Source organism: Homo sapiens, chromosome 9, assembly GCF_000001405.40.
Source record: "Homo sapiens chromosome 9, GRCh38.p14 Primary Assembly".
NCBI lineage: Eukaryota > Metazoa > Chordata > Mammalia > Primates > Hominidae > Homo > Homo sapiens.
In genome coordinates this window covers 39,794,371-39,818,618 of record NC_000009.12, presented here as the reverse complement: position 1 = coordinate 39,818,618, position 24,248 = coordinate 39,794,371, and the positions used below count along the sequence as shown (strand labels likewise).

At 40.4% G+C, this 24,248-nt stretch overlaps 1 long non-coding RNA gene and 1 pseudogene across 5 annotated transcripts in view, besides 4 other annotated features; both read left to right on the top strand.

The window, feature by feature from the left end:
- FGF7P3 (fibroblast growth factor 7 pseudogene 3) overlaps nt 1-4,835 on the top strand; it is a 60,783-nt pseudogene extending 55,948 nt beyond the window's left edge. The window contains exon 3 of the transcript NR_003670.1: nt 890-4,835. The product of NR_003670.1 is annotated as a fibroblast growth factor 7 pseudogene 3 (transcript). The remainder of the gene's footprint in view (nt 1-889) is intronic.
- GLIDR (glioblastoma down-regulated RNA) lies at nt 8,460-15,123 on the top strand. Of its 4 annotated transcripts, NR_126045.1 has the most exons (3): nt 8,460-8,888; nt 9,004-9,133; nt 9,858-10,931. It is a non-coding gene; the product is annotated as a glioblastoma down-regulated RNA (long non-coding RNA). The 4 variants fall into 4 exon arrangements; NR_126046.1 differs by lacking the exon at nt 9,858-10,931 and adding an exon at nt 14,760-15,123 and having other exon boundaries at nt 8,460-9,133; NR_015363.2 differs by having other exon boundaries at nt 8,986-11,238.
- Nucleotides 8,461-8,630: an enhancer, noted in NCBI's record as "active region_28421". NCBI's record gives its function as "activates an Ori minimal core promoter by ATAC-STARR-seq in GM12878 lymphoblastoid cells {active_cell/tissue: GM12878}" and the evidence as "EXISTENCE:reporter gene assay evidence [ECO:0000049][PMID:35858748]".
- Nucleotides 8,941-9,010: an enhancer, noted in NCBI's record as "active region_28420". NCBI's record gives its function as "activates an Ori minimal core promoter by ATAC-STARR-seq in GM12878 lymphoblastoid cells {active_cell/tissue: GM12878}" and the evidence as "EXISTENCE:reporter gene assay evidence [ECO:0000049][PMID:35858748]".
- Nucleotides 20,082-20,606: an enhancer, noted in NCBI's record as "H3K27ac-H3K4me1 hESC enhancer chr9:41943031-41943555 (GRCh37/hg19 assembly coordinates)". NCBI's record gives its function as "activates a minimal SCP1, AML or CMV promoter by ChIP-STARR-seq in naive and primed H9 embryonic stem cells {active_cell/tissue: H9 hESC(naive and primed)}" and the evidence as "EXISTENCE:reporter gene assay evidence [ECO:0000049][PMID:30033119]".
- Nucleotides 20,607-21,131: an enhancer, noted in NCBI's record as "H3K27ac-H3K4me1 hESC enhancer chr9:41942506-41943030 (GRCh37/hg19 assembly coordinates)". NCBI's record gives its function as "activates a minimal SCP1, AML or CMV promoter by ChIP-STARR-seq in naive H9 embryonic stem cells {active_cell/tissue: H9 hESC(naive)}" and the evidence as "EXISTENCE:reporter gene assay evidence [ECO:0000049][PMID:30033119]".

The following is a 24,248-nucleotide window of genomic DNA, read 5'->3' as shown; positions in this document are numbered from 1 at the left end:
CTTCATCTGTAAAATGAGTTGAATTAGCTGACCTCTAAGGATCCTGCCAGCTCTAAAATTCCATGTGCATTTTAGATATTTAAAATCCAAAATTTCCATTTGCCAGTATTAAAGCTCTTTTTGTTAAAGTTCACTCAATTTGCACATTGCTGACATGAGAATTCTTGGGAAAAAATCTTGAAATGTTTAGTTCATTCATCAATATCAATCTGACAATCATGGGCTTTGAACTGTAATTATTCACATTGTTCCCACTTCACTACAATGCAAAATATGTAACAGTTCATCTCACTGTAATAAAATATAATTGGCTTTCCTTTATATTCCCACAGCTCAGCATAATGCCTGGAACAGGCTAATTGTATAATGATACAGGTTTAACTGAATGAACAAATGGTTGCATGGATGAACAAACAAATTAACCTTTTATCTTCCATTACCATTGAAGACAATGTAGAAGTAAATAAAGAAAAGTTGTGAAACAAGTCTCTCACCTGAGGGAGGCAGAGGTTCTGCTAATTATAGCAAATTTCCAGTGGTTAAAGAATGAGTGATGTGGGAATAGTAATATGAGGCCTGTTACTTAGGGGGAAATAGGTCCTAATTTTAAAGAATAGTTGACATGAACTTCCAAAAAGCTACACATATTTCATAACTAGCTGTGTATTATGTGGTGTTTCTATTTCAAATTTAAGATACCTTTTAATGCAAATATACTACATAAGTCTAGCTAATAAACCACATTAGGCCTGCTCAATCTGAGGGTTAAAAAAAGTTGTGTATGTTTCAATTCTACCAAATATTACCTGCTTACTCTTCGTTTAATTGAGCCTCTCTCAAAATCATTTGGATCATGTTTGTTTGTTTGTTTGTTTGTTTGTTTCAACAGAAGGAATGCAATGAAGATTGTAACTTCAAAGATCTAATTCTGGAAAACCATTACAACACATATGCAGCAGCTAAATGGACAAACAACGGAGGGGAAATGTTTGTGGCCTTAAATCAAAAGGGGATTCCTGTAAGAGGAAAAAAAACAAAGAAAGAACAAAAAACAGCCCACTTTCTTCCTATGGCAATAACTTAATTGCATATGGTATATAAAGAACCAGTTCCAGCAGGGAGATTTCTTTAAGTGGACTGTTTTCTTTCTTCTCAAAATTTTCTTTCCTTTTATTTTCTAGTAATCAAGAAAGGCTGGAAAACTACTGAAAAACTGATCAAGCTGGACTTGCGCATTTATGTTTGTTTTAAGACACTGCATTAAAGAGACATTTGAAAAGTATACACAAAAATCAGATTTAGTAACTAAAGGTTGTACAAAATTGTAAAACTGGTTGTACAATCATGATGTTAGTAATAGTAATTTTTTTCTTAAATTAATTTACCCTTAAGAGTATGTTAGATTTGATTATCTGATAATGATTATTTAAATATTCCTATCTGCTTATAAAATGGCTGCTATAATAATAATAATGCAGATGATGTTATATAAGGTATATCAGACCTACAGGCTGCTGGCAGGATTTGTCAGATAATCAAGCCACACTAACTATGGAAAATGAGCAGCATTTTAAATGCTTTCTAGTGAAAAATTATAATCTACTTAAACTCTAATCAGAAAAAAAGAATATTCTCAAAAAAATCTATTATGAAAGTCAATAAAATAGATAATTTAACAAAAGTACAGGATTAGAACATGCTTATACCTATTAACAAGAACAAAATTTCTAATGCTGCTCAAGTGGAAAGGGTATTGCTAAAAGGATGTTTCCAAAAATCTTGTATATAAGATAGCAACAGTGATTGATGATAATACTGTACTTCATCTTACTTGCCACTAAATAACATTTTATAATTCCTCAAAGTAAAATTGAGAAATCTTTAAGTTTTTTTCAAGTAACATAATCTATCTTTGTATAATTCATATTTGGGAATATGGCTTTTAATAATGTTCTTCCCACAAATAATCACGCTTTTTTCCTATGGTTACTGCATTAAACTCTATATTAAGTTGTTTTTGAACTTATTGTTTTGTTATTTAAGTTTATGTTATTTATAAAAAAAACCTTAATAAGCTGTATCTGTTTCATATGCTTTTAATTTTAAAGGAATAACAAAACTGTCTGGCTCAACTGCAAGTTTCCCTCCCCTTTGTGACTGACACTAAGCTAGCACACAGCACTTGGGCCAGCAAATCCTGGAAGGCAGACAAAAATGAGGGCCTGAAGCAATGCTTACAATAGATGTCTCACACAGAACAATACAAACATGTAAAAAATCTTTCACCACATATTCTTGCCAATTAATTGGATCATATAAGTAAAATCATTACAAATATAAGTATTTACAGGATTTTAAAGTTAGAATATATTTGAATGCATGGGTAGAAAAGTATCATATTTTAAAACTATGTATATTTAAATTTAGTAATTTTCTAATCTCTAGAAATCTCTCCTGTTCAAAAGGTGGCAGCACTGAAAGTTGTTTTCCTGTTAGATGGCAAGAGCACAATGCCCAAAATAGAAGATACAGTTAGGAATAAGGGGCCCTGAATGTTATGAAGGTTTGAGGTCAGCCTACAGATAACAGGATTATTACAAAGATGAATTTCCACTTCCAAAGTCTGTCATTGGCAGATCTTGGTAGCACTTTATATGTTTACCAATGGGAGGTCAACATCTATCTAATTTAAAAGCTATGCTAACCATTGTGGTTTTAATTTCAAAATATTTGTCATACAAGTCCCTTTACATAAATAGTATTTGGTAATACATTTATAGATGAGAGTTATATGAAAAGGCTAGGTCACCAAAACAATAGATTCATTTAATTTTCCTGTGGTTGACCTATACGACCAGGATGTAGAAAACTAGAAAGAACTGCCCTTCCTCAGATATACTCTTGGGAGAGAGCACGAATGGTATTCTGAACTATCACCTGATTCAAGGACTTTGCTAGCTAGGTTTTGAGGTCAGGCTTCAGTAACTGTAGTCTTGTGAGCATATTGAGGGCAGAGGAGGACTTAGTTTTTCGTATGTGTTTCCTTAGTGCCTAGCAGACTATCTGTTCATAATCAGTTTTCAGTGTGAATTCATTGAATGTTTATAGACAAAAGAAAATACATAATAAAACTAATCTTCATTTTAAAAGGGTAAAACATGACTACACAGAAATTTAAATAGAAATAGTGTATATACATATAAAATACAAGCTATGTTAGGACCAAATCTCTTTGTCTATGGAGTTATACTTCCATCAAATTACATAGCAATGCTGAATTAGGCAAAACCAATATTTAGTGGTAAATCCATTCCTGGTAGTATAAGTCACCTAAAAAAGATTTCTAGAAATATGTACTTTAATTATTTGTTTTTCTCCTATTTTTAAATTTATTATGCAAATTTTAGAAAATAAAATTTGCTCTAGTTACACACACTTAGAATTCTAGAATCTTAAAACTGTAAGGGGCCTCCATCCCTTTTACTCATTTGTAGTCTAGGAAATCAAGATTTTGATACACCTCAGGTCATGCAGCTGGGTAGATATACAACTGTCACAAGAGTCTAGATCAGTTGGCACATGCTTTCTATACTAGATTATTAGTATTATTAGCTAATGGTCTTCTGCATTTTTTGGTTTTTGATTTGTATTGAGATATAGCCTTTACATTTCTACACAAATGTGACTATGTATTGGCAATGCACTTCATACACAATGACTAATCTATACTGTGATGATTTGACTCAAAAGGAGAAAAGAAATTACGTAGTTTTCAATTCTGATTCCTATTCACCTTTTGTTTATGAATGGAAAGCTTTGTGCAAAATATACATATAAGCAGAGTAAGCCTTTTAAAAAATTTTCTTTGAAAGATAAAATACATGAGTTTCTAACAATTAGAAAGGAAAAAATTAAAATATGAAATAACAAAAGTAAACAAAAGATACTTTCAAAGCAGTGAACAAAACATTTTGACATAAGCCGTAATATAAATTATAATATAAAAACATAAAAACCATAGTATAAATTGTCAGTCTTTGAGTTGGCCACAAATTCAATTTAATGAAAGAAGAGAAGGGATGCTGGAGGTAAATAAATTCTTAGAGTTTCTATCTCATAGAGTTTGCTCTTCTGGTTCTCTAGACTGCCAAAGAACATAAAGATGTACAAGGGGACCTAGCTGTAGTAAAAGCATACCTATAACAACAAAAACTCTAAAACGGTGCCCCTCACGATTTTCTACTGAAATTTCTCTAATAGTAGAGGTATAAAATAAGAAGTTAGAGAATAATACAAAAGGGGCCCACCATAGAAAGCACATTTCTTTTCTCTTAAGACTCATGTGATTTTTGCATCTTACTCCATAATGTATTAGTGGTTGCATTAATATGACAATGTCTGCAATTAAACACCAGTAAGCAAAATTGATACATCAGAATGACTTGCAGGGCTTATCACGCAGTTTCATTTACATCCCTACCCCACTGCCATTTACTTGAGCGTGAATGACACACGAGAGATTCTTTGCCTTCCATAATCCAACTTTACACATAAATAACACAAGGCTAAAGAAAACCAGAACTCAAATTCACCATGCATAGGAGTGATAACAAAAATATTTAACAGTCAGTATGGGTGATCACTGGCCAATCAAAATACATCACTGATATATCAAAATGGATGCAGGCCACTGTGACTAACTTGTGGATATCATTTCTATGATCACCCTAAAACAGAGTTGGGAAAATATCAATTAACTGGACTCTCTGGTTTGAATTCTCAATATGTATCTTAATATGAAATAGCTCATTAAAACTTCATGTGTAACTATTTCAGCATTGTTGTCAGCTACTCTTTATTCCACTTCTATACAGATCATGTCATCTTCAAATAGAGACACTTTCACTTCTTTTCCAATTTGGATGCCTTTTATTTCTTTTTCTTACCTAATTGCTCTGGCTAGGACTTACAGACTTTTTCAGAAACCCCCCAAAGTAATCTAGGGGAGTCCACTGTCACTAGATCTGCTTTATAAGAAACCCTAAAGGGAGTTCCTCAAACTGAAATGCAATAAGACTAATTAGTATCATGAAACCATATGTAGTTATAAAAAGTCACTGGTAAAAGTAACTGTACAGTCAAATTCAAAATACTCCTAATACTGTAATGATGGAGTATAATCACTTTAACTTTTAAAAGGTTAAAAGACAAAAAATACTACAAATAAATATAATTACAAAATATACAAAGAAAGAAACTCTGACATCAAAAAACATAAGTGGAGGGGAGTAAAGTGTAGGGTTTTTGTATATGATTGAAGTTAAGTTGTTATCAACTTAAAATAGACCATTATAACTACAATCATGCATTTCTTAATGCGGACATGTCCTGAATAATGCAATTTTGTCATGGTGTGAATATCATAGAGTATACTTACACAAAATTAGATAATACCACCTAACACACACCCGGGCTATTTGGTATAACCTATTGTTTCCAGGCTACAAATCTGTACAGCATTGTACTATACTGAATGCTATAGGCAACTGTAATACAATCATAAGCATTTGTGTATCTAATGTATCTAAACATATGAAAGGTACAATAAAAATCTTATAACCTTATGGGACCACCGTTGTATATGTGGCCCATCATTGACCAAAACATCCTTGTGTGGCACACGATAGCATACAATGTTTTATGTAAGCCTCATGATAAACACAAAGACAAAACATGTAACAGATACACAAATGAGAATTTTACCACATGTTTAAAAAAGAATTAATACAAAGGCACAGCAAAGAATCAAAGTATACCACTACAGAAAATAATCAACGTAATCAAATCATGCACAGCAAGAGAGAAATAAAAGAACAAAAAAACTACAAAATGCCTATCAATAGTTACTTTAAATATCAGTGGACCAAATTAGTGAAACAAAAGACACAGAGTGGCTGAATGGATAGTAAAACAAGAACCAAATATATGCCACCTATAAGAGACTCACTTCACCTTTAGAGACACACATAGACTGAAAGAGAGGGAACAAAAAAAGACAGAGTAGCTATTCTTACAACAAACAAAATAGACTTTAAGTCAAAAACTGTAACAAGAGACAAAGTCATTATAGAATGATACAAGGGTCAATTCATTGAGAGGATATAACTACTGCAAATATATATTCTCCCAACATTGGAGCACCTAATTATATAAAGCAAATATTAACAAATCTGAAGAGAGAAGTAGACAACAATAATACAATAACAGTAGGGGACTTCCATGTCCCACTTTCAACAATGGATTGATCACTCAGACAGATAATCAGTAAGGAAACAGCTGACTTGAACTACACTATAGATCAAATGGACCAGACATATACATGACATTCCTTTCCAAAACAGCAAAATACACATTCTTCTCGAGCATACACAGTACATTCTCCAACATAGGTCATATATTAGGCCAGAAAACAAGTCTTAGCAAATTTAAGAAGATTGAGATCTCACCAAGTATTCTTTTTGACTACAGTGGCATGAAACTGAAAATTAAAAACAGGAGAAAACTTAGAAAAGTGACAAATATGTGGAAATCAACCAACACACTCCTGAATAACCAGTAGATCAAAGAAAACATCAAAAAAGAAATAAAATATCTTGAGACAAACTAAAATGAAAGCACGACATACTAAAACTGATGAGATGAAGCAAAAGCCGTTCTAAGAGAGGGAAGTTTATACAGATAAGTGCTAAATGAAGAAAAAAGATCTCAAATAAACCTCAAAAAATAGAGAAAAAAAATCAAGCCCAAAATTAGAAGAAGGAAATAACAAAGATCATAGCAGAAATAAATGAAATAGACTAGAAAAACAATAGCAAAGATCAATGAAACGAAGAGCTGATTTTTTGAAAAGATAATAAAAATTGACCAACCTATCACTAGGCTAAGAAAAAAGAAATCTTAAGTAAATAAAATTAGAACAAAAAAGGAGATATTAAAATTGGTACCATAGAAATACAAAGGATAATAATAGTCTACTCTAAACAACTATGTGTCAACAAATTGTTTAACTTAGAATAATTTCTAGAAACATACATCCACTAAGACTGAAACATGAAGAAATAGAAAATAAAAACAGATAAATAATGAGTAAAAATATTGAGTCAGTAGTCAAAAAGCTCCTGAAAAAGGAAAATCCAAGACCAGATAGCTTAGTGGAGAATTCTACCAAATGTTTAAAGAAGAATTAATACCATTTCTTCACAAACTCTTCCAAAAGTTGAAGAGGAGGGAACACTTCCAAACATTTTTTATGAGGCCAGCATTACCCTGATAACAAGGACAGAAAAGGACACTACAAGGATGACAGAGATTTTTAAGGTACAAATGATGTATTGTTGGAATTGAAAATACAGGCTTTGTTAGTACAAAGATTTGTGTGTGGATAGGTGGATGTGTACTGGTGTGTGCATGCATACATATACAAGCTTACCTTGTTTTATTACACTTCACATTATTATGCTTCTCGGATATTGCAGTTTGTACAGGTTGAAGGTTTGTGGCAACCCTGCACCAAGCAAGTCTACCAGTGCCACTTTTCTGGTAGCATGTGCTTATTTTGCACCTCTGTGTTACATTTTTGTAATTCTTGCAATATTTCAAATGTTTTGTTATTATTATATCTGTTATGGTGATCTGTTATCAGTGATCGTTGATATTACTATTGTCATTGTTTTGGGGCATCACAAGCCATGCTCCAAAAGACAATGAGCTTAATTGATACATATGTGTATTCGAATGGTTCCATCGATCTGCCCTTCCTCCATCTCACCCTCTCCTCAGGTCTGTTTTCTGAGACACAGCAATATTGAAATTAGGCCAATTAATAACTCTATAAAGGCCTCTATGTGTTCAAGTGAAAGTAAGAGTCACACATCTCTTATTATAAATCTAAAGTGAGAAATGATTAAGCTGAGTGAGGAAGGTATGTTAAAAGCCGAGACAGGCCAAAAGGCCCAGGCTGGTCTCAAACTCCTGACCTCAAGCAATCCACCTGCCGCAGCCTCCCCAGGTAGCTGAGATTAAAGGCATGAGCCACCATGTCCAGCTTCTATGCATTATTTTAAATGGAGTATTGAAGACTCTGTTACTGTAGAACTATTTCTAACTTCAATTCTGTCAATATTTGGGTCACAGGCCTTAATGTGATTACACGCTGGTCTGATGCTCATGGCCAGGACATTTTGTTTTCCTGTTGGACATAAACAATCTCACAGAATATCAACTTCAGAAGGTTAATCTGAGACCGTGATAAGTGCAAACAAAAACAAGGGCACTTTATAATGTTGTCTAAGTGCAGATAAAAAACAAGGTCTTGATGTCACCCACAAAATACTTAATAATCATATTGCTCCTGCTTTCTGACAGCATCCAATCTAAAGTCTTCACTTTCTGAGATCCTGTCCGAAATCAACCAATTAAAGCCCAAATCGTATAATAGTTTCTCTCTAACTCCTCCCACTGAGATGACCCATAGTACCCCATTCCTTGCTGCAATGTAATTATATTTAATTACAAGTGTGCCCCTGGTAGTCTTTAACTGAAGGGCACTGACTGGGTCACTGGTGAAGTTCCCCGCAGGAACTGAGTCAGACCCCATCTCAGGGCCCTGCACAAGATAGGTGCCTGCTCTAAGGCGTGGACCCTCGCCACAGCCCTGGCCCGTCTTGACGGGCGAGGGTTACTGTACTTGTCCCAACCGTACAGATGAGAAAGCTGAGACTCAGGGCCAGCAACCCGGGTCCCAGCGGAGCGCCCGGCACACGCCGACACTTCAGCACCAGTGGCGGTGGCCACCACTGTGGGCGGAGATGGCTGCGACGCGTGCGCAGGTAAAGTCTATGCGCGCCTTGCCTCCCACCGGCGCCTTCCCCGGCCTCTGGTTTTTGTCCCCGCCAGCGGCTCCGACTCCATCGCGTCCTCTTCCAGTCTAGTGCTTTTTTCCAGATCTCGATCCCAAACTCCCTCCTGCCAGAATCTGGACCCGAATCCACCCATTGCCCGTTTTCCGCTGCCGCTGGAGAGAATCTCTGAGGTCCCCAGGAGAGCCTGCCTGCACGGAAGAGACGCCTCCTCGGTATGGCCGCCCCCGGAGAGGAGCGATTAAGTGCAGACCTCCTTGTTGCTCTTGAGCCTGAGCGGCTTCAGGGAGCCATGTTTGTTACTGGCGGGCGCCGACCTCACTGAGCATGTGCAGCCCTGGCCGGGCGGCCTCAAAGTTCTGACATCACAGGGCGGTTCCTGAAGTGGACGTAGTTGTAAGAGCTAGTTATTTTAGACAATGCCTCTGGGATCAGGGACTCTAATCTGGAAATAGGTAGTCGGAGAGGTCGGTGATGCAGTCTCTGGATCAGAGACCTGAGCTATATGGGGTTAGAGAGGGGCCCTGGGCAGGCGAGTCTCTGGGGAGTGTGGTGAGAATCCTTGTGTAAGATGCTGGGAGGAGGTGGGGTCAGGGCTGGGGTCCGTGGGCCGACGGGTTGGGGGATGGCCAGCGTCAGGGATCAGTAGTAGAGATTCTATGTGCCCTGATCGCCAGTGGAGGTTTTAAATACAGAGTATTCATGAGTTTAGCAATGTTTTTCGCCTCTCATTATTTAAATAATTTGAAGTTTTCCCCAATAACTAGTGTCTTAGAAGTCATGAAAATTTCAGAAAATGACAGGTCTTCTGAGTTCGTGATGGGAGTTGGGCAGCAGTCGCATACGAGCACCTGGAGAGTCCTTGCCAGTTCTTTGGGGATGGGGAGCTCTTAAGACTGCCCTGAGACCGCCCTTTGACCTCATTGTGGTCCTTTCTAGATTAAATGCTGTTTTCCATGACCGTCTCTGTTCTTCCCATACGGGAATGGCAGGCATTCAGATCTCCAAGAATAGAGGATTAGGAGAGACTCCACCACCTATGTCCTCACAGTTAATTATCGATTTGTGTCAGTTGCCCATTTTCTCACTTCCTGTTTGTGTGTCAAGGGGTATTAATAAATCTTTGCCTATTTAAAGATATTAGCCTTGGATTTTCAAATATTGCATATTTTGACATGTAAAAATTTGTTAGTTTTATTTTTTCAACCGATCTGACCTGTATAGTTGGGCTTGAGGAAGCTTCCTCATTCTACATGTTACTATGGATTTTCTAATATTAACACAGGGTTGTATTTTTTCCATATAACTTTCTATTGAATTTCTTTTTCCATATGATAGGTGGTGAAGGTTTAGCCCAGTAAAGCAGAGAGGTTAAGAGGTTAGATTGGGGGCTCTGGAGCCAGACCTGTGTAGATCTGAGTCGTGGCTCTGGCACTTGAAAGCCGTGTGACCTTGGTTAAGATACTTAGTCCCTCTCTGCCAAATGGAGAAATAAGGGCACCTACCCCATAGGGTAGTTGTGTGATTACACAAGTTAATACACTTCAATCAGTAGCAAGAAAGTGAATGTCAAGCTGTATTTGTTCAGGCAGCCATATGGTAGCCCCACGTCCTTAGTAAACTGAGGTATTGAAGTATCTTCTTTTTCTTTCAGAAAATATTTGTCAAGCACCTTCTGTGTTCAAAGAACTGTTCTAGAGCTTTGCATGCTATGGAGGTCTAGAAATTCACATTATGGTGGCAGGTGACAGACAATACAAAGAGATAAAGCAATTTCATATAGTGATAAGCTAGGGAGGAGTGCTAAAAGGAGCCAAGGTGTAGTGGTGACTGGAAGGTGACCAGGGAAACCACTGTAGGGTTTCTAAGTGATGAGATCTGTGACAAATCCCTGTGGTCAGCAGCAGGCATTGGATATGTAACTTTATTCTGTCCCATTGATCTTGTAGTCAACCCTGGTCTGTTCTGTATTGTTTTAATTACATAATCTTTGTAATAATCTTTAATACCTGGTGGAGTGCTCTGTTTACTTATTTCTGCGTAATTAACCACCCCTAAGCTTAACTTACTCATGGTTCTGCAGGGTGACTGCTCTCCATGTTTCTAGGTGGTTCTGCATGGGGCCTCTCACATGTGCTACAGTCAAACATTAGCCGGGGCCACAGTCATCTGAAACTCACTTACATGGCTGACAATAGATGTTGGCTGTTGCCTGGAGAAGACATATGTGGCGTGGTGGAATGGAATGGTGACTAGATTCAAGAAAGAGCTTCCCAGGAGGAAGGCTACCAAGAGACCGAAGTAGAGGCTTCAGTTTCTTAAAAAAAAAAAAAAAAAAAAAAAAAATCGGGCCAGGCACGATGGCTCATGCATGTAATCCCAGCACTTTGGGAGGCCAAGGCAGGCAGATCACAAGGTCATGAGATCGAGACCATCCTGGCCAACATAGTGAAACCCGTCTCCAATAAAAAAAAAAATACAAAAATTAGCTGGGCATGGTGGTGTGAACCGGTAGTCCCAACTACTCGGGAGGCTGAGACAGGAGAATCTCTAGAACCTGGGAGGCGGAGGTTGCAGTGAGCTGAGATTGCACCACTGCACTCAAGACTGGCAATAGAGGGAGACTCCATCTCAAAAAAAAAAAAATCCAATAGTAGAATTCCCAGAATGGAATTTATGGCATTTTCTATGGATCAAGCAAGTTGCAAGGCAGCCAGATTCAAGGGGAAGGGAGCTATTCCTCACCTCTTGAGAAGCAATGTGTGTTGAGGAAGGGAAAGAATTGATGGTAGCTGTCTTTGACTTCTACCATACAGAGCAAGGTCTCCACACTCCTTTCTCCTGTAATAATTTTCCATTTGAAAATTTTCCTTGCAATTCTCACACCTTTATTATTTCATATAAATTTTACAATCAATTTTTTTCTTGTCTAGATAACCATGCCATTTAGATTAAAATTGCATTACATTGCAACTTTTGAGAAACTATGGGAGGAGAATTGGCAACCTTATAATATTGAATTTGCTCATTAAGGAACATAGTTTCTCTGTTTATTTAGGTATTATATTTTTCGTGACATACATGTTGGTATTTCTACCCAGGCTTTTCTCTTTGTTTTGTCATGTAGCCCATGAATGAGACTGCACTGTCTGTGTGATTGGGCAGTTGCCCAAAGTTTAAGGTGTTAACATGCATTAATTCACTTAATCACTCCTCATTTCCTCCTTCCCTCAACCCCTGACAACCATGAATCTGCTTTCTGTCTCTAGATTTGCCTATTCTGGACATTTTATATAAATGTGTCATCCAATATCTGGTCTTTTCTGACTGGCTTCTTTCACTTAGCAGGATTCTACGGTTTATTGAGGTTCATTCATTGTGTGGCCTGTATCAGTATTTCATTCCTGTTTATGGCTGAATAATGTTCCACTGTATGTACATATGTATGTATACCACACTTTGTATATCCATGTATTTACTGGAGGATATCTGGGTTATTGACAGTATATTTCAGGAGTCCCCAAGATCATCCTCCCCCTTGATCTACTGCTCTTTGTATCTTATATGACCTGTGCAGAACTATTTATCTGGAAATTAGGTGATGGTTAACTAAATATAGTTCTTCTAAAGACTCATTTTCCGTTGGTATTACATCCTGAGGAGACTTTAACTCAATCTCCCAATACATTTGATCATCAATATCAGTATTACCACATGACTTATTTGCATGAGGTAATCAAATCTAACCAGCCATGCCAGTGTTACCCATATTGCATGTTGTGGTAGTAGATGCAGCCCCCCAAAATAAAAGTCAAAAGATGCTGGCACATTCCTGAGGTTCTTGTCAGCCACTAACAATTGGTGTAGTTCATCATCACCTGGAATGACCAAAATGTCTCCCATGGAAATGCGGCTCAGCTGTGTAGGCTTCCATTTAACTTTGTCAGGTTCCGAGGCAGGGCTGGCTTGAGTGGTCTTGTTTCCACTTTGGCTATGATGAATAATGCTGCTGTGAACATTCAGGTATACGTTTTTGTGTGGTTTCATTTCTTTTAAGTATATACCTTGGAGTGTAATTACTGGATCATATGATAACTCTGTTTTAATTTTTGAGAAACTACCAAAATGTTTTCCAAAACAGACAAGGTTTTACATTCCCTCAGCATTGAATGAAGGTTCTTATCCAGTTTCCTGTTCTTGCTGACACTCCTTATTGTTTGTCTTTTGAATTTAGTTATCTCATTGGGGTGACGTGGTGTATCATTGTGTTTTGATTTGCATTTCCCTAATAATGAATGTTATTGAGCACCTTCTCACATGCTTATTGGCCATTTTTCATGTTTTTGAAGAAATGTCTATTCATCTTTTGCCCATTTTTAAATTGCGTTGTCTTTTTATTGAGTTGTAAGAGTGGTTATATCATCTGGAACATGTGTTCCTTATCAGATATAGGACTTATAAGTTTTTGTCCCATTCTGTGGTTGTCCTTATTTTCTTATGTAACCTTTGTATTAGTCTGTTTTCATGCTGCTGATAAAGACATACCTGAGACTGGTCAATTTACAAAAGAAGGAGGTTTATTGGACTCACAGTTCCATGTGGCTGGGGAGACCACACAATCATGGCGAAAGATGAAAGGCAAGGAGGAGCAAGTCACGTCTTACATGGATGGCAGCAGGCAAAGTGAGAGCTTGTGCAGGGAAACTCTCATTTTTAAAACCATCAGATCTCGTGAGACTCATTCACTATCATGAGAACAGCACAAGAAAGACCTGCCCCCATAATTCAGTCACCTTCCACTGGGTTCCTCCCACAACACATGAGAATTCTGGGAGTTACAACTCAAGATGAGATTTGGGTGGGGACACAGCCAAACCATGTCAACTTTGAAACACAGAACTTTTTAATGAAATTGAACTGATCTATTTTTTGTTTTGTTGCTTGAGCTTTTGGTGACTGCTATGGTTTGAAATATGTTCCCACAAAATTCATGTTTGGAATGCTTATATTCCTGTTGGTGGGAATATAAAACCGTACATCTAGTATGGAAAACAATATGGTGATTCCTCAAGAAATTAGAAACAGAATTACCCTATGATCCAGCATTTCCACTTCTGGGTGGAATACCAAAATAATTGAAAGCAGGGTCTCAAAGAGATATCTGTACACCCGTGTTCATAGCAGCATTAGACACAATAGCCAAAAGGGAAATAATCTAAGCATTCATTGAGGGATGAATGGAAAAACAAAATCTGACATATACATACATACAGTGGAATATTATTCAGCTTCCAAAAGGAAGAAAATGTCTATATAGCATATAGACATATGCTATAACATGGATGCACCTTGAGTACATTATGCTAGGTGAAATAAGCCTGTCACAAAAACAAATACTGCATGATTCCATTTAAATGAGGGGCCTAGAATATTCAACTTCATAGACAGAAGGTAGAATGGTGGTTGCCAGAGGCTGGGAAGAGGGGGTAGGGGTTAGGTTTTAATAAATATCATTTCAGTTTTACAAGATGAAGAGAGTTTTGCAGATGGGTTGTGGGGATACTTCTACAACATTATCAATGTATTTAATACCACTGAATTGTACACTTAAAATGGTTAAGATGGTAAATTTTATGTGTGTTTTAACACAATAAAAACTGAAAAAAGGGATATATGTTACCCTAAATAAAAATTTCATATGCTGAACTCAGAACCCCCAGTACCTAAGAACATGACCTTTTTTGAAAATGGGATTGTTGTTAATGTAATTAGTTAAGATGAGGTCATGCTGTAATAGGGTGGGCCCCCTAATCCAATATGATTTGTGTCTTTATAAAAAAGGGAAATTTGTGCACAGAGATAACACAGGGGATATGCCATATGAAGATGAAGGCAGAATTCTACAAGCCCAGGGATGCCAAAGATTGCCAGCAAACCACCAGAAGCTAGGAGAGAAGTGTGGATTAGATTCTTCCTCACAGCCCTCAGAAGGATCCAGCCCTGCCAAGAACTTGATCTCAGACTTCTAGTCTCCAGAACTGTGAGACAGTGCATTTTGTTTTGTAAGTCAGCCATATGGTTTGTGGCACTTTTTTATGGCAGCCCTAGGAGATGAAGACAATATGCAACATGGTATGTCCATTATAGGACACTGTGGGCCATAAATGTGTTCTTTGGCCTGAAGAAATAAAACTTGGTGGTCCAAGTTGATGTCTTATCATCTGTTCCAGTTCTTTTATAGTATTTTTGGCATTTGAATCTAATGACTATGCAAAGCCCAGTCCAGAGAACGTGTCAGGACCCATTATAGCCTCCCAGGGATACTGGCTTCAGTCTGGTATAATCTACTTGTTAGCTATGAGTGGTGCCTTCCCACTGGGAATCTGCCCCATAGCCACCTGCAGTCTCTGTCTTCCTGCTGTCAGATAGGACGGTTCTTGTTGGCATTTGGTGCTTCTGAGGGTGGAGGAGGGACGTGTTGCTGAGCAGCCCATCCCTGCACGGCTGCAGCTCCCCTTTGTCCACTCCTTTGTTAAGCCCAGGTGGCCACCTCAAGGTCACCAGGATATCCACCTACCAGATCTGATCACTGAACCTGGGAGGGGTTCTTCAGGTGGGCATTGACATGACCTACTTTAATGTGCCCTTTAAATTCCTGCAGTGCTGTGCTCCATGTGGACATCCTTTCACAGCCCAGTTTGCCATTGTCCCTCTGCCTGGTCACATGGCCAGGCCATTGGCCACTGCCCATGAGTCAGTAAAAGTAAAAACCGAAATGTAGAAGATCCTATCATTGTTCAATTCTTCCATCCCAGGAAGGAGTGCAACATGTAATTCATCTCACTGGGCTGATTTGTTCTTGCCTTTTTCAATAAGAATTTTCCCATTACTGCTCATGGTGTGCATCCAGGCCAAACTGATGCAAGGGGTGGGGTCCCAAGGCCTTGGGCAGCTCTGCCCCATGGCTCTGCAGGGTACTTCCCCAGTGACTGCTTCCATGGGCTGGCATTGAGTGCCTGTGGCTTTTTCAGGCACACAGTGAAAGCTTTCAATGGATCTACCATTCTCTGGCCTGCAGGACAGTGGCCCTCTTCTCACAGCTCCACTAGGCAGTGCCCCAGTGCGGACATTGAGTGGGGCCTCCAAACCCACATTTCACCTCCAGACTGCTTTAGTAAAGGCTCTCCATGAGGGCTCTGACCCTACAGCAGACTTCCTCCTGGACATCCAGGCATTATCATACAACGTTTAAAATCTAGGTGGAAACTCCCAAGCCTCAACTCTTGCCTTCCTTGCACCTGTAAGCTTAAAACCACATGGAAGCCACAAAGGCTTCTTATGGCTGCACCCTCTGATGCAGTGGCCTGAGATGTATCTGGGGCCCTTTTAGCCACAGCTGGAGCTGAAGCAGCTGGGATTCAGGGTGACATGTCCCGAGGTTGTACAGAACAGTGGGGTCCTGGGCCTAGGCCATGAAACCATTTTTCCCTCCTAATCTTTCAGGCCTGTGATGGGAAGGGCTACTGTGAAGATCTCTGAAATGCCCTGGAGGCATTTTCCCCATTATCTTGGCTATTCACATTCTGCTCCTCTTTACTTATGCAAATTCCTGCAGCTGAGTTGAATGTCTTACCAGAAATTTGGTTTTTCTTTTCTACCACATGGTCAGGCTGCAAATTTTCCAATCTTTTATGCTCTGCTTCCCTTTTAAATATAAGTTCCAATTTCAGACCATCTCTTTGTGAATGTATATGAGCATATGCTGTTAGAAGCAGCCAAGTTATATCTTGAATGCTTTGCTGTTTAGAAATTTAGAAATTTCTTCTGCCAGATGCCCTAAATCATCTAAAGTTTGAAGTTCCACAGATCCCTAGAGTAGGAGCACAATGCCACCAGTCTCCTTGCTAAAACATAGCAAGAGTGACTGCAAACTCCAGTTCCCAATAAGTTCCTCACCTCCATCTGAGACCACGTCAGCCTGGATTTCACTGTCCGTATCACTATATGAGCATTTCAGTCACAACCATTCAGCAAGTCTCTAGGAAGTTCCAAACTTTTCTTCCTGTCTTCTGTTTTTTTGTTTTGTTTTCATTTTTGTTTTTGTTTTTGTTTTTTTTAGATGGAGTCTCACTCTGTTATCCAAGCTGGAATGTGGTGGCACAATCTTGGCTCACTGCAACCTCTGCCTCCTGGGTTCAAATGATCCTCCTACCTCAGCTTCCTGAGTAGCTGGGATTACAGGCATGCGCCATGATGCCCGCCTAATTTTTTTTTGTATTTTTAGTAGAGACAGAGTTTCACCATGTTGGTCTGGCTGGCTTTGAAACCCTGACATCAAATGATCCACCTGCTTCACCCTCCCAAAGTGCTGGGATTGCAGGCATGAGCTACCATGCCCAGCCGTCATCTTCATGTCTTCTTATAAGCCTTCCAAACTGTTCCAACCTCTGCCTATTACCTAAGTCCAAAGTCGCTTCCACAGTTTCGGGTATCTTTGTAACAATGCCCTACTTCTCTGGTACCGATTTTCTGTATTAGTTTGTTCTCACATTGCTATAAGGAAGTACCTGAGACTGGGTAATTTATAAAGAAAAAAAGGTTTAATTGGCTCATGGTTCCACAAGCTGTACAGGAAGCATGGCTGAGGAGGCCTCAGGAAACTTACAATCATGGTAGAAGGTGAAAGGGAAGGAAGCATATCTTCGTATGGACAGCAGGAGCACAGGGGAAGTTAATATACAGTATTAAACAGCCAGATCTCATGAGAGCCCTATCACAAGAACAGCAAGGGGGATGTCCACACCTATGATTCAATAATCAATTTCCAATTGTAAGATTCAATTTCCAATTGTAATTGGAAATTACAATTCGACATGACATTTGGCTGGGGACTCAGAGCCAAACCATATCACCAACCCTATAAAGAAAGCGAGGCACTGATGTCACACTGCTGGTGGATCTGAGACTTGATCTCAGGCCAGCCTGATTCCTAAGTGACGTTCTTACCCTGTTGCCTCAGGATCAGCGAGAGCTCTATGGAGCCTGTACATTGCTAAAGAACAAGTTGAAAGAATTTTATTTCCAACAGTAGGGGTGATAAGGACCAGCTGGAAACAACTAAAGCTTCTGGAATACATATCAAGAACCTCTTAAAAATGTGTCAATGAGCTACAAAATAAGAATTCCAAAAAGCTAAAAAAGTTTTAAAATGGAAGTGAAACCCAAAGAAGTAACTAAGGCACTGATGCCACTTTTCACCCTTCAGATATTTGCCTGTCAAACTAAACTTTGCTGTTTTTCACAGCGTGAGGTGGAAAAGGGGCAGCAGAACAGCAGACAAAGCTGAGGGCCTGCCCAAGTGGGAGGGGCTAAGAGGAGACATCATAAAGTGAGATCCAAAAGGACAGACTTAGTGTAAGGGTGAACTATGAATAAACCTGTCCGCCTCCCCCTGTATGCTTCCCTTGACCCCTGCTTCCCTAGGAACAGTGAGGAACATTGGGTATCCTGAGAGAAAACATCTCCCCTGAGAGTTTTATGTGTGTGTATGTGTGTATATATATATATATATATATATATATATATATATATATAGCCCTTTAACTGGTTTGTTCACACAACCTGGGTGGTCTAAAATGTCTCAAGCTTCAAATTTAAAGCAATATCAGCTTTTTGGTGCCTTCTAGGTGACTGACAGATGCAAAATGGATTGTCTTTGGAGAAACTCTGAGATACTTTCAAGGAATATAAGTTCACAATAAAAAATCACAAATGTAAAATCGGCAAGAGCCAGCAGAAACAATGGACAGAAAGAGCAGGCCTGCAAAAACTTAAGACAGTCAAGTTACCAAAGACAGTACAAAGTGCGTTTTATACTTAAAGAAATAAAGGAGTTGAAATAACTTGAGCATGAAAATAACCAAATAGATTGGGGAAAGTACCAAGTAGAAACGAAATGAAAAGTATCATAATTGAAATGGAAAGTTCAATGGATTGGTTTAACTAACGGTCATCAAAAAGAGAATAATAGATGAAGAAATAAAGAAGTTTTCAGACTCGAAAAAGCTGAACGACTTTACTACCTGCAGACCTGCACTATAAGAAAAGTTAAGGGATGTCCTTCAGGCATAAAGAAAACGATACTAATGGCAGCGGTGTGCCATCTGGAGCAGCCACTGTTATCACGCCAGCTGCAGTATGGAGGCACAAGTGGTGGTGGCAGAAGTGGCTGTGGGAGCAGCAGTGGTAGTGGTGGGTCCCCTGTGCCCTACATCCCTGAGGCAGCTGACTGCACCACCCCGACCCTTGCACAACTGGGAAGGACCCACTGCAGGCCCGGAACCTCTGCCGTGCCTTCAATCTCGCTGTGTGCTGCGTCTCAGGAGTCTGTGAGCTGATAGTGCAGCCAGGACTTGTGGGGTGGCCCCAGGAGCATTGGGTTTGTTTGCGCGGGGTTGGCTGAGGCCACCAGCCACCCGCACCTTGCCTGCTGCCACTAAGGGGAAAATGCAGACCAGTGGTATGGCTAGGGCTGCATGCTTTATGGAGCCAGAAAGTTGGTAGAGTGGGAGCTTCCCAGGTGCAACTGCAGCCACCCAAGCTGTGGCTGCTACCAGGGCACTCCTGTGCTCTTGGGAGCCAAGAGTAGGCAGGAGCCCCGCCCTCCCAAGTGCAGCTGCAGCCACCCAAGCTGCAGCTGTGGACCCAGGAATCTCCATACTCTTGGGGGCCCAGGAAGGCACCCCTTTCCCTGCAGGCTAGGAAGTGCCTGCTCCCACTGTCCGTGTTCTCCTTACTGTTAGCATCTGCTCCTGTCACAGTTCACAACCTGGGGCACTGTCTCTCTCTCAGCACTTTCGCATCCCAGCTGCATGTGTGCATGCTTGGAGTAGTGCTGACATGCCAGCCCCTTGGCCCCCTTTGGACTGTGGAGGCTGACAAGCATGGGAAGGAGGCTGAAGTGGGGCTGAGGACAGCTTGGCACTGGCCTGCAGGTACTCCTTGGCATGAATAACGTGGGTGCCATGAACAATGACAGGAGGCAAACAGGCTCTTGGGTGGAAGGGAGCAGGTTTCCAGTGAAGCCCCACCTGCAAGCTGGGGTGGGGCTGAAGCCTAGGGGGTGGGCCGCCAGTCTTCAGGGAGGAGATACCCTCTGTGCTGAGAGCTGAAGAGACAACGGGATGACCTGCCTGCAGAGAGGAGCTGCCCTCTCTGCTGAGAGCTCAGTACTCAACAGGACACCCTGGCTATGGAGAGGAGCTACCCACTGCGGGTCTCCTCTGAGCTGTCTTATCTCTCGGTAAAGCTCCTCTTCATCTTGTTCACCTTCCACTTGTCTGCATATATCATTCTTCCTGGTCTCAGGACAAGAACTGGAGACCTGCTGAATGGCGGAGCTAAAATAGCTATAACACAAACAGCGCTGAAACATGCCCCTTGTTTGTCACATTGCAAGCAATGAGAAGAGAGAAGAGAAGAGCTGTGGCTCTTCAGGGAGCCCAGACCTAGGAACTCCGAGCCAGGGCTGTGACACCCTCTTTAGGGCTCTGTGGGTTCCTGGCATCTCCAGGGTTCTGGGCACCACCACATTCCCTGGTGTCAGCCGTGGAAGCTGCTTATGGTATGCCTGGTCTAGCTGCAGCCTTGCATGGAGCTGGCACCCGTGCCAGTGCCTGAAGCTGCCTGCCCATCGCCTATCCCCCCTCAGCCGGCATGCCTGGCTGTGTGCAGTGGCCGGACCCCATGCTTGCTCACACACCCCTTGCTCCTCCGTGCCTGGCTTACCCTTGGCAGACAAGCGATCCAGGCTCATAGTGGGAACTGAGCACAGCCTGCCAGGCCGAGTGGGTGGAACAAGACCAGAGATCCAGAGCAAAACTCTGGAAAAGGCTCCACTGGCCATAGAGGCTTTTGGCTGATGAAGTAATACCTCAAGGATCCCGTAGCAATACCAGATGGAAATCTGGATCCACACAAAGAAATGGTCTACACCAGAAATAGTAACATTGTGTATCTATACCAGAAATAGTAACAACATGGATATATACTTTATATTATTTAAACTTCTCTAAAAGATAATTGTTTAGGAAATAAAGTAATATGCAGTTTATAATATATGTAAAAGTAAAATGGATGACAATAAGAGCTTAAAGACTAAAAGGGGGGAAGTTTACTATTCTCAGATTCTTAAACTGTACATGATGTGATCTACTGTCACCTGAAGGTCAGCCGTGATCAGTTAAAGGTGTACACTGTAAACCCTGGAGCCACCACTAAGATAACAAACCAAAAGATTACAGCTATTAAACTAACAAAGGAGATCAAATGGAATCATAAAAATATATTGGGTAAATCCAAAAGAAGACAGAAAAAGATGTAAAAGAGAATAAAGGACAGATGTGATGAGTAGAAAACAATAGCAAGATAAGAGACTCAACCATATTAGGAATTACATTACATTTAAATTGATTTAGAAGACAGGTTGTCAGATTGGATTTTTTTAAAAGCTGGTTGTATTTTGCTTACAAGAAATGTACTTTATTTATTTACTTATTTTTGGAGATGGAGTTTTGTTCTTGTTGCCCAGGCTGGAGTGCAATGGAGTGGAACAGTGCGATCTCACTGCAACCTCTGCCTCCCGGGTTCAAGCGATTCTCCTGCCTCAGCCTCCCAAATAGCTAGGAATACAGGCCCCTGCCACCACACCCAGCAAATTTTTGTATTTTTAGTAGAGACGGAGTTTCACCATCTTGGCCAGGCTGGTCTCAAACTCCTGAAATCAGGTGATCCACCTGCCTTGGCCTCCCAAAGTACTGGGATTACAGGTGTGAGCCACCACACCTGGCCAAGAAATGTAGTTTAAATATAAAGATGCAAATAGGTTAGATGTAAGAGGATGGAAAAAGATATACCATGCCAAGACTAGTCAAAAGAAAGCTGAGGTGGCTATACGAATGCCAAAATGGACTTCAGAGCAAAGGCTATTACCAGGGATTAAAGAGATTATTTCTTACTGATAATGTGGTTAGTTAATGAAGAAGACATAACAAACTTACGTCTTTTTGTACCTAACAAAAAAAGCTTCAAAATGTATGAAGAAAAGTAATAAAACAATAAGTAGAGATAGAGATAACCATCAGAGATTTTAATCCCACTCTCAACACTTCATAGAATAAATAGGCAATAAATCAGCAAGAATGTATTGGACTTGAACAACACCATCAACCAACTTGACCTGATTTATATTTATAGAATACTCCACCCTATAAAAGCAAAATACACATTTTCTCAACTGTGCACGGAAGATTTATGGAGATAGACCACATTATAGCCCATTAAAAACCTCAATAAATAAAAAAGTATTCAACTACAAAGTATGTTCTCAGGCCACAATGGAATAAAATTAAAAACCAGTAACAGAAAGATCCTTTAAATATCCCCAAATATTTGGAAATTAACTCACTTCTAAATAACTCATAGGACAAAGAAGAAATCTAAAGGAATATTAGAAAGTTATTTGAAGTTATTGGAAATAGAAAAACAACAAAGAATTTGTCGGTTGTCACTGAAGCAGTACCTGAAGGGAAATTTATGATATTACTGTATTAGAAAAGAATAAGGGTCTCAGATCAGCAACCTCAGTTTCTAATTGAAGAATATCGCCCAGGCGCAGTGGCTCACGCCTGTAATCCTAACACTTGGGGAAGGTCGAGGTAGACAGATCACCTGAGGTTGGGAGTTCGAGACCAGCCTACCCAACATGGTGAAACTCCATCTCTACTAAAAATACAAAAATTAGCTGGGTATGGTGGCTGGCACCTGTAATCCCAGCTACTTGGGAGGCTGAGGCAGGAGAGTCACTTGAACCCAGGAGGTGGTGGTTGCAGTGAGCCGAGATTGTGCCACTGCACTCCAGCCTGGGCAACAGAGCAAGATTCTGTCTCAAAATATATATGAGGAAGAGCAAATTAAATCTAAAGTAACCAAAAGAAAGGGAATAATAAAGATCAAAATGGGAATCAATGAAATAAAAAAAGGAAAAAAAATCAATGAATCCAAAAACGTGTTCTTTGGGAAAGATCAATGAAAACGACAAATCTCCAGCTGGATTGATTGGGAAAAAAGAGAAAATTATGAATATAAAAAGGGGATGACTGACATCACTAAAGATCTGGCAGAGGTAGTGCTCATCAGGATTCTCCACTGCAGTTTCTCTTTTTCCCCCTCTTCCATACCGTCCTCTTTGGAGAATAAGTCACTGTGTGCAGCCCACACATAAGGAGTGGGGAGTTATTCTCGCTCTCCTTTGGGATGGAATATATAACATAATTCATTTGAAATCCTGCATGGGAAATTTATCTCCTTTCCCTCATTCATTAACTTATTTAATCATTTATTTATATCAGTATGCACTCAAGAATATTTATTTTATCTAATACTGCTCTATTTTGTTGCCCTTTACACACATGGACTCTTCCGTATTGCCACAGGTGCCATCAGGTCTCCAGCCTTTGCACATGCTGTTTCCTCTCTGGGATTCCCACATGCCGGGCATTAGGTCAAGCTCCACGGGACTCCCTGAGATGGATCAGACATAGATCCCACCATGAATACCTCACAGTCCGGCTGGGAAGATGAGACAGGGACCTAACTATTTATAGAACAGAGTCACCAGCTTATAGGTACAAAGGAAGGGCATGGACAGCACAGGACACACTTGTCTACTGCTAGAGGTGTCAGGGGCAGCTTCTGAAGTTGGTGGGTCTCATGGGGCTCACTGCAGAGGTGTGACCACAGAAAATAGAAAGGAGGCATTCCATGCAGAAGGAAGCTAGAGTGACAGGAGCACACAGTATAGAGGTAGGGAGCATGGTAGGGGACTGAAGACTCGGACCAGCCCCCCATTGGTACATTTTGTGCTAGGTCTCCACACTCAAACATCCTGCAGCTCAGCTCCAACGACTGAAAATTCTGCTAATGAGAATTTCTCTTCTGCGAGCTTTAGGCCTTGGCTGGTTGGGCCAGTGGCTGCCTCTTATGTCCCCCACCAGTCGAAGCTCAGTTCCACAGGAAGAGCTTTGTGTTTTGCTCTAAGTAGCAAGGAATCCACTTGTGGGGAGTCCAACAGGGAGTGAGTGAAGGACTTACATTCCATGGGAGGCCTCTGGCTGTGGGCACAGAAGGGGCTCTGGGCTAAAGAAGGAAGCTGGGAGCCCCTCAAGTAGCAGAAGGACATTGGGGTCATCCCTGAGAGAGGAGACCTAGTGAGAATGAAGTGATGGCAGGGTAAGGTGGGGTGGGAAGGGGAGGGACAGGCGCAGATAGGGA